We start from the raw sequence: 14,160 nt of genomic DNA on the forward strand, positions 1-14,160 counted from the left end.
CACACCTGACCCTGACTGTCCTCCTGCCTTGGCCTCCTCTGTGGGGCTGAAGCCACCCTCTCGGGTCATCCATAACGTCACTGCATCCTCTACACAGCTGCTAGAGTCATCTTTCTCGAAACTAGATCAAACTATTTTAAAACTACCGGTGACTTCCTATACCCTTCAAATAAAATTCACACTCTTTCCCATGATCCATGAAGCTCTCTTGACCTACCCAACCCACCTCCTTTCCTCTTGCCTTCACCTGCTCCTTCCCATGCCTCAGACACAAAACTCGTTACGCAGTATGGCTGTCCACATGCTGTCCCTGCACCTGGAGTACTTTCCCTGGCTTGTCTCTGACTGGCTGTTTTGGTTATTCCCATCTCAGTTTCATTAATCAGTATTCACATAGTTGCTTCATTCTATTTAAGAAGGTGGTGGGCCAGGCACCATGGCTCATGCCTGTAATCCCAGCACATTGGGAGGCCGAGGCAGGCAGATTATTTGAGCTCAGAAGTTTGAGACCAGCCTGGGCGACGTGGCCAAACCTCGTCTGTATGAAAATACAAAAATTATCCAGGCGTAGTAGCACATGTCCTTGGTCCCAGCTACTTGGAATGCTGAGGTGGGAGGATCACTTGGACCCAGGAGGTGGAGGCTGCAGTGAGCCATGATTGTGCCACTGCACTCCATCCTGGGTGACAGAGTAAGACCCTGGTCTCAAACGAAAAAAAAAGAAGGAAAGTGGCACTCTACATCACTACCACCTTCCCAGTTGTTATTTTCCATTCCTTTATCCTGTTTATTTCAAAGCATGTATCACAATGATTATAACAACTTTTTTTGTATATTTGATGCTTTTCTAATATTGGACACAATGGAATACTTACCCTACTCGTTAAAACTTTTCTTTTTTTAAAAAAATAATTATTTGTTTGTTTTTGGAGGCGGATTCTCGCTACACTGCCCAGGCTGGTCTGGAACTCCTGGCCTTAAGAGATCCTCTCACCTCAGCCTCCCAAAGTGCTGGCATTACAGGCATGAGCCACCTCGCCTGGCCACAACTTTTCTTTCTTATACTTGCTTATACTTTCTCTTCATTGTTGTTGTTTTAATCTTTTCTGATTTTCCTCCAACTCATTGGCTGTCCCATCTCCTTCTCCGGCCCCTCTTCTGCTGTTATTGAAATGTCGGCAGCCCTAGAATCCTGCCCTTGGTTCTCTGCTCTGCTGTGCAATCTGCAGGTCACCTTTCCTGCATGCACGGCCCCTCCAGCCCCCACCGCAGGCCGGATAGTGCGGTTAAGAGCTTTCCATCAGCAGCTGTGAGGGCCTTCTCTGGGTTAGGCGCTGTTTAGACTCTGGGAATAGTCTAAAAGGTGTAGTTCCTTCCAGCATGAAGCTTATTGCATTTTGGTGAGGGAGACAAAAAATAGCTAAGCAAACATTCTGTGGTGTTAGGTAAGGGAGTGCAGTGGCAATGAGGCCAGGTAAGAAAGCTACTGGGAGGCGAGTTGATTGCAATGTGCAGTGATCAGAGACGGCTTCACTGAGGGGTGACATTAGAGAGCCAAATAATACGAGAGAAGCAGCCGTGAGCCGACCTGGAGGAACAGCACTGGGGCTGCTGCGAGAGCGTTGGGGAGAAGCTTGGTGAGTTTGAGAAGCATCGAAGATGCCAGCATGGCTTGATGAAGGCAGCTAAGAAGGAGGATGGGGCCAGACCTTCCAAGACCTCAGAGGCCATGGCAAGGAGCTGGGGCTTTATTCCAGTGGTGACAGGAAGCACTGGAGGCTTTTGAGCAGGGAAATGATCTGATTTGGGATTCGGAGTTGGAGAGTCAATTCCAGCCTCATCCATCACATGGCTTTATGTGAAGAAGCAGCGGTCATATTTAGCATTTTCTTAGCCAACAGTCTAACTGAAATCACCCATGTACAGACAGGAAATGACGTTCACAATTCTATGTTGACGCACTATAACTTCCTGACATACCTTTTATTAAAGAAAGTTTAAATTGTCTCAAGTGGTTTTATTGTTAAATATAGTACTTTATGACTCTGATTTTTTTTTTTTTTGGAGACAGGGTCTCACTCTGTTGCCCCGGCTGGAACGCAGTGGTACGAACATAGTTCACTGCGACCTCGAACTCTTAGGTTCAAGCAATCCTCTGGCCCCAGCCTCCCGAGTAGCTGGGTCCACAGGTGGGCACCACTGGGCCCTACTAATTTTTTTTTTCTTTTCTTTTCTTTCTTTCTTTTTTTTTTTTTTAGAGACAAGATCTTTCTTGTTGCCCAGGCTGGTCTTGAACTCCCAGCTTCAAGCAGTCCTCCTGCCTCAGCCTCTTAAAGTGTTGGGATTACAGGCATGAACCAGTGCGCCCAGCCTTCGTCTGATTTTAAGAATGTTTATTCTGTATATGATGGATGTGATAACTTTCTATTATTACTCATAGATGGATGAACTGTTCTGCTGCTCTCCCTGGTTCCTCATCCAGGCCAGGAAAGAGTTGATTGTAATTTCATAGCATTTTTCTCATAATAATCTTTAAATCCTGAATTGCTTGTTTTGTGGCTTTTGCATATGGATGGTCTCCTAGTGTGTTGGGTGTTTTGACTCACCAAATTTTGAGAGACTAGCAGCAGATTTTACAGGCTGCCTCCTAAATAGGAAGATGTTTGGAGTTGTTGGAATGAGACAGGGATAGATACATAACAACCAAAAGCTTAAATACTGATCTTTTTCCCTATCAAATTTATCACTGGGTACTGAACTAATGTTTATCTTACCAGTTCAAACTTGAGTCACCCTAAATTTGTTTTTCTTTCGAATCTTGCTTCCTAACAGTCATTGTGTCATTATACTGAGCTTTCTTTATTAAATGGTTTTGTTAAAATCTCCAGGATTATACATGCATAGTTGGGGAAAAGAGGGAAAAAAGCAAGTGTAGGAACAGCTTCCTCAGAGGGACTGACGCGCAGAGGTGCTGGGCGGGTGGGGAGCAAGAGCTGTGCCCGGCTGCTGCCGCCGCTGCTGACAGCCGCTCTCGGGTCAACAGTGTCAGGATGATTTCCCATTACTTTTTTATCGACTGCTCTTGATGATCCTGTGAAGTAAGTGGGCTCAGCATTATTGTGTGAGTGTCTGTGCGTGCACAGATGAAGAACCTTGTGCTCACCATCACAGAGAAAGAGGAAGGGGCTGGTTCTGTAAATCAGAGTCCACTTGCCCTTTGCTGTTTCCACTGTAACGAAATGCTGCCTTAATAATAAAGCACAGCCGGAAATAAAGAGTGGGCTGCTTAGCACTGTCCCCAGGACAGAGGCCATGTGGCAGGCAAGTCAGCCTCTTCGACAGGATTGTGTACCAGGCCTACTCATGGATGCCTGGGTGTCTTATATATAAGTGGACACAAGAAGGGAGAGAATGGAGCACTTAGGGCAACAGCCAAGCAGGCCCCCACCTGTCCTAGCCTTTCCCTTTGCATCGCATTATGTAAGTCCTCCCTTCTTTGACACTTGGATTTTAGAATGTCCACTTTCATGTTGCTTTAATAACTAGAACAATGTCTTCATTTTACATAGAAGGAACACAGTAAGAATTTAATAGTAACTTGAAACAACTGTAAAATTCCGTTGATCCTGAGATATCAGTTGTAAGACACACCATTCATTTATGTACCACTAAGGTAAAAACAAACAAACAAAACCAAAACATTGCCAATTAGACTGTGAAGCAATTCTTTCTTCTATAAAACATTTTTTTAACTGCATAGACCAAATACTTCAAATTTCTTAAATGGTTTGTTGACTGAAACATAGAAGGGTTGCAGTGGCCAGTCATTCTACCAGGAGTAACAGTCAAGTTCACCCATCGGCAGGCAGTGACTGCGCATCACCACTGCCTGTCCAATAAAGATAGGAAGATACTACTGGTTAGAAAAGATGGCCCAATTTCAGAGATGCACATTTTTGTTTTCACATTTTAATAAATTAGAGTCAATGATACATGGTGAAATCGTTTCTCTCATTTTTCTAATAATAGCACTGCTGGAGAAAGTACTTATTATTAGCCTGTAATGGTGGTTTAGCAGCAGAAGGCAGATGTGGTTCCCGTATCAGTGAAGCTTTGTTGGGGAAACAGACAAGAAATGCATGAACAGTCAAACAGTTATAAATTGCGACTCCTTATTTTGGGGATGTAGAATGACCAGAGAATATGTCTTTGAAAAGACAGTATTACTCTTGAGACTTAAAGGGAGAGAGATAGAGAAATATAGAACGACCCAGGGAAGAGTGTTCCCATGGGAGGGGAGCAGAATATGTGGGCATGAAGACCCTGTGGAGGGAAAGACCTTGGCACCTTCCAGAAGTTCGGAGAATAATTGTGTGTCTCGAGCAGAAAGTTCCTCACGTGGCTAGTTCTTTGAATTAAACTCAAACATGTCCTAATTTGGATTTAGAGAAACGTCTTACCAGATACAGTCATAGTGTTTTAGTTCATGAAGCATATTTATTCTTTTCATGAAATGCTTCTGAGGATGGAATCACTTTCAAGCAAAATCTTTTCTTTTAAGTCAGTAGTCCGTAAAAGTACTGGATGTTGATGAGTGTATATCCATGTAGTTATATACAGTTATCCTCATTATGCACAGATTCTGTTTCTCACAATCATTTGAAGACATGCAGAGCAGCAAAAATTCAGTCGCATGCGTTGCCTGTTCCCAGCTGAGGTCGAGCAAGGCAGCACTCTGCCTTTGGTGTCAGCTCTCGCACTATAAGGAAGTGTGGTTTTCACCATCTCAGTAGTGCCATGTTTTTCTCATTCTGTGCTTTTGTTGGTGATTTTGTGTTTAAAATGGCCCCAAAGCATAGTGCTGAAGTCCTGTCTAGTGGTCCCAGTGCCAGAGGCTGTGATGTGCCTCATAGAGAAAATGCATGTGTTACATAAGCCTCTTCTAGGCATGAGTTACAGTGCTGTGCACTGGGAGTTCAATGTTAATGCATCATTAATATCTTAGATAAGGTGTCTTTAAGCAGAAGCACATGTAAAACAAGGGTATGCATCGATTAGCTGATGAAAATGTTGTGACCAGAGACTTATAGGAACCTAACCGTGTATTTCTCTTAAGAGCAGTGGTTCAGTATTTGTTAGTTCAGTGTTACCATAACTACTGCAAATAACAAGTGACAGTATGTGTACATATGAATACATAGCTAACATGCTGTTGTGTAACAAGCCACCCCCAAACTTTAGCAGCTTAAAACAGCAACCGTTTACTAGCTTACAATTCCATGAGTTTGCATTTTGGGTTGGCTCAGCCATGCGGCTCTTCTGCTGGACGAGGCTGGGATCACCCATACATTTACTGTTGGCTGGTGGTCAGTGGCTTTGCTCCTATGCCTGGTGCTTTGGCTGGGGCTCTGGGCCACACACTTCATCACCCCGCAGGCTAACCTGGGCTCATTCCTGTGGCAGTGGTTGCAGGTTTCCCAAGAGCAGCAGGAAGGCAAGTCCTTAGTGTGCAGCCGCTTTCCATGCCTCTGCTTCTGTCACATTTGCCCATTGGCCAAAGCAAGTCACACAGCCACCCAAAATCATGTCCACCTCTTGATGAGAACAGCTGTAGAAGCCCAGTGGAAGGGCATAGATGCAGGGAGGGGAAGAATGTCTGTTCATTTTTACAGTCTGACTCGTACTTCTCATACTAAGTCGTTTATATACAAACTCATTTTTTACATACTTTGTCTTACTGTTACTCAAAAGCCAAAGAGGTAGTACTTTCTGTTAACCCAAACTGGCATTAAGAGGAAACTGAAGTTCAGAAGGATGAAGGAACCACATAGCCCAATAATTGGCAGAGGCACATCATACATGTCTCTATGATTGTAGGGTTTTTATTCTGTTTCTATTGTTTCACTTTCTGATAGATAAATGGCTAATTTGCCTAATTTGTCTTATTCCTGGGGTGGGGAAAGGAATTGCAATGAGATTAGTTTCATCCCTACAGAACAATACTATTGTCTGTAAAATAAACTGTATCCTATGCATAGTCTTACTATTTTAAGTCTAGGAAAATCATGATGATAGTGATTTGTGAATGTGTGGTGTTTGATTATAAATTTGATTTGCACAAAGGGCCTACATCCTGGATATGGAATCTTAGTTGTAACAGAATTTATCCTGAAAGACTTAAAGGAAGATGATTAAAATATTAGAGATATTGACATTGTCTGAAGAGATCTACTTGTATTTATTTCTTGCAAAAAAAAAATCCACCATATTACCATAGCCAGGCCCTATTATGCTATTGTAATCATAGTTGAACCAAGAAGAGTGATTAACGATAGCAATTTATTGTATCTGAGGAGGAGAGAAAATAGGAGATGTTGTCGTTATCATAAATCATATCATAAATAACCAAAAAGAAGCACTCAGAATGCTTGTGTGGTGTCAGCAGCCAGCCCTTTCAGACACGTTAGCCCAGGATGTAGCCATAGAAACCCCAAAGTCATATTGTTATCTTAGTCTTGCTGCAGTTATGTGATACAACAGTATTAACATATAGATTAGGCCATTTATAATACTAGGTGTCATTTCAGGTTGGCTTGCTTATATAGCATTTTAGTTTTTTATTGTGCAGAATGTTAGTGAAATAGTACTTTTTTACAGGTCACTGTGTATCTAGGAATTTATAATGCATCATATTCACTCTACTATTAATTTCTTGTGTTATTGATTGGTTGTAATGTATGAATTGTCATTGCCTAATTGTCTTGTCTTTGCTAGTAATTTCATTTTTTAAGTAAACAGGTTTATTTTAAAAATACATACCCACTTACACATGTTGAGTTGTGTTTTAAGGGTCTAATTTCTGTTACATTATAGACAGGACAATTTTAAAATATTTTATAAGGAGATGTCAATGGAATTATTTTTTAGCCTCATTTAGTACTAGAAGATATAATGATGAAGTGGATTATGATTGTTTTTGACGCCATGCCCTTCTTTTCCTTCCCAGCATCGAGTGCCTGTTTTCCTATTATTTCCTGACTGCCCCAGCCTCTTCTCCTCAGAGTAGCTTCCCAGCTGGGCCTGACCCTGACCTTCCTGGTAGTAATACCCCGTGTTCTACACTCACCTAATCCTCAACATTCCATCACGTTGTTTCACTTCGGTTCCATTTTCCCAGTCTTCTCACTTCAAAAAGTAGGGTAGAGTTGTTCATTTGTTAGTTTCATGGTCTTAAAAATATTTTCACAGCAACATTTTAAAGATACTGCCTTTACCCAAACACATAAATCAAGTGGTAGAGTTTCAGGAACTGTTGCTTGTTGGTCAGTGAGATATTTAGGGGCAGGAGTAGCTCTGTCCTGCCCTTTAGATCATCCCACACATGGCCAACTACATGTAGAGATGGCCCTAATAATAAAGATCTTCATCTCTTGGAGGAGGTCAGATGTCAGTATTCACACTTTACAGATGAGAAAACTTAGGTCTTGGGAGGTGAAATGGGCTGTGCTGGGTTGAACTTGGCTCTGTGAACCGATCCCAGGTGTCATTTCAGTTAGGTTCCCTGCCCAGCCAACATTTCCATTCCTGCCTTCATATCCCTTGATGTGGCTCCGTGTGTACCTTGTGCAGATTCCTGCCTACCGTGTGAACTGATGGCCATAAAATGTGTTTGATTAAGGACAGCCAATCATGTCTTATTTGTCTTTGTAGTCCTAGTTAACACAGAACTTTCCATAGTGAGATTCAGAGTGCACATCATAGGCAAATGAATGAATTAGTCCTAGTTAACACAGAGCTCTCCATAGTGAGACTCAAGAGTGCACGCCATAGGCAAATGAGTGGATTAGTCCTAGTTAACACAGAGCTCTCCATAGTGAGATTCAGAGTGCACTCCATAGGTGAATGAGCGGATTAGTCCTAGTTAACACAGAGCTCTCCCTAGTGAGATTCAGAGTGCACTCCACAGGTGAATGAGTGGATTAGTCCTAGTTAACACAGAGCTCTCCATAGTGAGATTCAGAGTGCACTCCATAGGCGAATGAGTGAATTAGTTCTAGTTAACATGAGCTCTCCATAGTGAGATTTAGAGTGCACTCCATAGGTGAATGAATGAATTAGTCCCAGTTAACACAGAGCTCTCCATAGTGAGATTCAGAGTGCACTCCATATATGAATGAGTGGATTAGTCCTAGTTAACACAGAGCTCTTCCTAGTGAGATTCAGAGTGCACTCCATAGGTGAATGAGTGGATTAGTCCTAGTTAACACAGAGCTCTCCCTAGTGAGATTCAGAGTGCACTCCATAGGCGAATGAGTGAATTAGTTCTAGTTAACACAGAGCTCTCCATAGTGAGATTCAGAGTGCACTCCATAGGCAAATGAGTGAATTAGTTCTAGTTAACACGAGCTCTCCATAGTGAGATTTAGAGTGCACTCCATAGGTGAATGAATGAATTAGTCCCAGTTAACACAGAGCTCTCCATAGTGAGATTCAGAGTGCACTCCATAGGCGAATGAGTGAATTAGTTCTAGTTAACACAGAGCTCTCCATAGTGAGATTTAGAGTGCACTCCATAGGTGAATGAATGAATTAGTCCCAGTTAACACAGAGCTCTCCATAGTGAGATTCAGAGTGCACTCCATATGTGAATGAGTGGATTAGTCCTAGTTAACACAGAGCTCTCCCTAGTGAGATTCAGAGTGCACTCCATAGGTGAATGAGTGGATTAGTCCTAGTTAACACAGAGCTCTCCCTAGTGAGATTCAGAGTGCCCTCCATAGGCGAATGAGTGAATTAGTTCTAGTTAACACAGAGCTCTCCATAGTGAGATTCAGAGTGCACTCCATAGGTGAATGAGTGAATTAGTTCTAGTTAACACAGAGCTCTCCATAGTGAGATTCAGAGTGCACTCCATAGGCGAATGAGTGAATTAGTTCTAGTTAACACGAGCTCTCCATAGTGAGATTTAGAGTGCACTCCATAGGTGAATGAATGAATTAGTCCCAGTTAACACAGAGCTCTCCATAGTGAGATTCAGAGTGCACTCCATATGTGAATGAATGAATTTTAGTGGCATTGAGTCACTTCAAGGAACTGGTTACAATAAATATACCTAAATTCAGACGAATAGAAAGGTATTTTTTGAAAAAAGTATGCTTTTTTGTTTTTCAACCTCTCTGCCCCACCTCTCCCGTGCTGTCTAAGCATTCATTTAAATGATCCTTTCATTTGCTAGTAAAAGAGGAATCTATTATAAAAACAGTGACATGTATGGACTAATAGGAAAGTTTGTGCATCATTGTAGAAATTAATTTCTACATCTGCATACATTTTTCATTTACAGATTCTGACACAAGATTGTGTGTACACTTTTAACCAATCATAAGAAGTCTAGCTTTAAATACGTTTAATTTTTGATGAAATATATGCAGATAGCATTTTGTTGTTCCTTTGCTTAAAGTTTAAGAATACAAGCATATTTTCTGCTTAGTTGGAGAACATGCCACTGAATTTTAAAGTTGCATGCGTCTGTGTAGTTAGTCAGATAAAAAGCTTCTATGCCATGTGCAAACAATTTCCCTTTATTTCCTAATGTCTATGAACTTTTTAGATTATAGTGTTTCTTTAAAGGCATTTACTATTCTAGTTAAAAAGATATTTTGTTCTAAGTCAATATTTATAGTAGCTTAGAATTAACCTCCCAAAAATCCTTTTGGTGTGTCAGACCTTATTGCCTTGTTCTGTTTTTGTCTGAGAAGTTTAGAAAAGAAGCATGTTTTTCTCATTATTCCTCAGGAGAATGTAGGGAGTGTGGATTATTTGTTTGTGTTATTAATGAAGGAAAATTGAAATGGAGTTTGTGGTGTCCTGCTCCCATCAACATTTGTAAAGCTTTTGAAAGATAGGGATTAATATGGATACATTTTGTTGCTTTTATGTGATTAAAAGGAATTTGACAATTGTTCTGCAGTCACACTCTGATGCTTTTAGGGTAAAGGATCGTGATGTCTACAACTTATTCTCAAAGTTTCCCAAAATTATACTATAATTAGGTAATTATATTAATAGATGTAGTTATATAATACATATGTTAATTAGTGCATCGGGTTATAGGGTATTCATGAATTCTTTGTAGTATTCTTACAACTTTTCTACGTTTGAAATTATTTCAAATTTAAAAATTAAAAAATAGGCCGGGCGCGGTGTCTCACGCCTGTAATCCCAGCACTTTGAGGGGCCGAGGTGGGCAGATCACGAGGTCAGGAGTTTGAGACCAGCCTGCCAGCATAGTGAAATCTCATCTCTACTAAAAACAAAAAAGTTAGCCAGACATAGTGGCACGTGCCTATAATCCCAGCTACTCGGGAGGCTGAGGCAGGAGAATCGCTTGACCCCGGGAGGTGGAGGTTGCAGTGAACCGGAATCATGCCACTGCACTCCAGCCTGGGCAACAGAGTGAGACTCCATCTCAAAAAATAATAATAATTTTAAAATAATTTTACAGTCAAATGTTGACCTGGAACCATTGATTGTTTAAACAAGAAGATATCTTAGAAAGCATCTCTGTCTCCCTATTTTTGTATACATTATGATCAGATACCCAGCTACCAATTAAATATCTGTCTAAAAGTGAATCTCTAGCTGTGGTGATGAATTTGTGCTGAGTCATTCATGATTTCACATCATTTCCCTTTTTGGACTGGTGAAAAAAGCATACCAGACATGCAAAACATTTGGCAGAATGAGGAGTTCCTTCTTACTGTGGCCATTTCTTATTTGAAGTATAGCATTCACATTTTAGTGACTGTGTGAAAAACATGAAAAAATAGGGTTGTTAAGAGGGGACATGAATTTTAGTTAAGATTTTTTTGAAAATAGGTATTACCACACTGTTTTAGGTGTGATTCTTCATGTCTTTAATTTTTTTTTGTTGTTAGTGTCTTTTTTCTACTAGAACTATAGGGGTTATATAATAATTTATGGGATTCTTTGATGAATGAGAGTTTAATCAATTATAACACATAATTTTCAATACATTCTCACACGTGGGAAAAGCAAATCAAAAGTCATATCACTATCAACTTTAACCAAACTTTAGCACAAGCGGAAAAGGTGACATCACTTTTGGGAATAATCCTTACTATGCCTTTAGGGACATGAGCATTAATACCTATCCAGAACTACCTTTCCTTAGTTAAATACCCACTGTCCTTCAAAGCTTCCCCAACAGCCCTCAATTGCTTTCATGGAGCGATGGGGAGATTAGGGCAGACGATGGGGAGATTAGGGCAGACGGCTGAGGTGAATTCACATCACCCACAGATACTAACTCTGGATGTGTGCTGCTATTGGTTTTACAGAGATCACGGGGAGGAGAATTGTTTTTTGTTTTTTTAATCTTCTCAAAAGGGTTACAAGGTTAACTTTCCAAGGCATATCTCTATTATTGATGGGTATTATTATTTAGCAGTTTGAATACTTACCTTTAGTAATTAATTTTCAGAATACTCTCAAGATAAATGGTGTTAAAGAACTGGTCTTATTGATCAAGGAACTAATGCGCCAAGAAGATGAACTTGTGTGAAAACTTACAACTAACAATCAATTTTTTAAATTTTTTTTTCAATATTTGTTTCTCACATATGTACAGAAGAGTCCTTTTCTCCCGTTTCAGAACACTAAAATAACAGAAAATGAGTTCTTAGTTCTTTGGAAATAAAAATCTTTGAAATATTTCATATATACACATGCTGTCTGTCTCACGCTCTCTCTAGCGCGCTCTCTCTCTCTCTCTCTCTCTCTCTCTCTCTCGATGTTGGAACACAGCTATTATTATTATTATGTCTATATTTGTGTTAAAGTAGAAAGGGCCTGTGACCCAAATTTTTTTTTATTATTTTTGCAATAACATATCAAGATTAGATATCTTGTAATATTAAGCTTATGCTGACCAAATTTTGCAGTTTTATAATACACAGGCTTCCACAGATTAGTGTAGGAAAATATTTTTAAGACATTTGTAGGATATTTTACAGATTATTAGTAAATGATGATCATTATACACATGCATGCAAAGAATACTTTGTTGCCATTCAATTATTATGAAACTGAAATTCACCTTTACCAGTGGTAGAGGCTAAACAGTTCAATAGCCATTACACATGTATCTTATTCCAAACACTTAAAACATAGAATTAAAATTATTCATGTAGTAAAAAGCCAGATACTCATTATGTGTAACCATCAACCAAGTCTGCATTTGAGCAGGCAGAAGCTAGATCAACTGTATTTATTTGTTTTAATTTTAAAAATTCTAATATTTTTAAAATAAAATATATTCACTCAAGTCGAAAACTTTTTTACCAGGAGAATGGATTAGCTACCATTGGACATTTCTGCAGCAGTGAAAATAAGTGAACTACAGCTGCCTGCATCAATCTGGGTGAATCTCAGAAACATAATGTTGGGTAAAAATTAAAAAAAAAAATTATAGTATCATACTATTTATGTAAAGTTCAAAAACAAGCAAACTACCTACAAATATGGTAAAACTACAAAGGAAACAGATTGAAGATCAAGATAGTAGTTCCCTGGGGGCTGGGGTAGGAGTGGAGAAAGCAGGGGTGGATGGGAAAGGAGCCACAGGATTGGGAGGGCCCTGCTCATGCTCTTCTGAAGCAGGCGATGGCCTCGCAGGTGTTCACTGATTATTATGCTTCATAACTTCCACGCGCGTTACTTATTCCTGCTGGTAGGTATCAGATCATTTCTAATTTTAAAAATTGTTTAAGTATCTTCACACTTTTTCCTTTTCTTATTAAAAGTTTTAGGCTTTTGGCCGGGCACGGTGGCTCACGCCTGTAATCCCAGCACTTTGGGAGGCTGAGGTGGGCGGATCACAAGGTCAGGACATCGAGACCATCCTGGCTAACATGGTAAAACCCCGTCTCTACTAAAAATACACACACACAAAATTAGCCGGGCGTGGTGACGGGCGCCTGTAGTCTCAGCTACTTGGGAGGCTGAGGCAGGAGAATGCCGTGAACCCAGGAGGCGGAGCTTGCAGTGAGCTGAGACCGTGCCATTGCACCCTAGCCTGGGTGACAGAACGAGATTCTGTCTCACACACACACACACACACACACACAAAAAAAGTTTCAGGCTTTTTTTTCTGACGAAGTCCTTTGTTCATTTTAATTGATTTTGATGCTGCAATTGAAGCTTTCTTATAAAATCTTAAGTAAATAAGAAAGTGTAAATTAAACAAATAAAAATAAGAAACCTTTGTTTGTTCTAAAAAAAATCTATTTTAAAACGTTTGTATTTTTAAGTATTCCTAAAACCAACACTTGAAGTGATTTAGTTTTATAATTCATTTCTATTCCTTTAAATAACATAAAGGAATGAATACAAGTTTTTGCAGTATTAAGTAACATAAAGGAATGAATATAAATTTTTGCAGTAGGAACTTGAAAAACAAAAGTGAAAATAAACAATAAAAACAAAATAACAAAAACAGAATAAACCTAGCTTGTGGAGTCTTACTTTAAATCAAGCTTAATGTTAAGTTTTTTTTACTGAAACACAAACAACCATCATTAATTTTTGATACCGTTATGAGTTATTTGAGCTCTAAATTCAAAGTAAACCAATATATTTTCTAAAGTAGTTGTATGAAACCATCCCAGTTTTCCTAGCCAAGCCTCACATTCTTCCTTCATTCAAAGGCCTATCTTGTAGCCATTTTGCCAGTTCTAATCTGATAGAATTGCACATTAGTAAAATAATATATCTTACTATACAGAAAAATCCAAATTTTCAAGTTATTGTAACTATAAAGCAGACCTTACATCCATAAGACTTGAAACTGTCTTACTAGTAGTCCTGGGTATCCCCTGTAGTCCCTTTCTAGGGAATGCTTGGAGTAGAGCAGTTTCCCTCTGGTCTCCCAGTATCCATAAGGCCTTCCCTGGAGAACACACACTGTTAGAGCTGAGCTATATCCAGATTAGTCCCCAGAGTTAGAAGAGCAGGATGCACCATAACATACTCTAAAGACCCGTTATCCTGCCTAAGCCAAACCTTTATCATTCTGTTTTGGCATCATTGGGATTTATGAACCTCTGTGGAGTAGGAGGAGGTTCTTTGAAATTTAGAAAT

The 14,160-nt window shown here is 39.9% G+C and overlaps 1 protein-coding gene across 2 annotated transcripts in view, besides 1 other annotated feature; it reads left to right on the forward strand.

Annotated features, from left to right (window-relative positions):
- Positions 1-14,160, forward strand: part of TAF3 (TATA-box binding protein associated factor 3) — a 198,127-nt gene that overhangs the window by 127,512 nt on the left and 56,455 nt on the right. The window lies entirely within an intron of this gene.
- Positions 2,830-3,124: a silencer, noted in NCBI's record as "tiled region #6244; K562 Repressive non-DNase unmatched - State 23:Low". NCBI's record gives its function as "represses a minimal TATA promoter and a strong SV40 promoter by Sharpr-MPRA in K562 cells {active_cell/tissue: K562}" and the evidence as "EXISTENCE:reporter gene assay evidence [ECO:0000049][PMID:27701403]".

The sequence above is a fragment of the Homo sapiens genome, chromosome 10, assembly GCF_000001405.40.
Source record: "Homo sapiens chromosome 10, GRCh38.p14 Primary Assembly".
Lineage (NCBI taxonomy): Eukaryota > Metazoa > Chordata > Mammalia > Primates > Hominidae > Homo > Homo sapiens.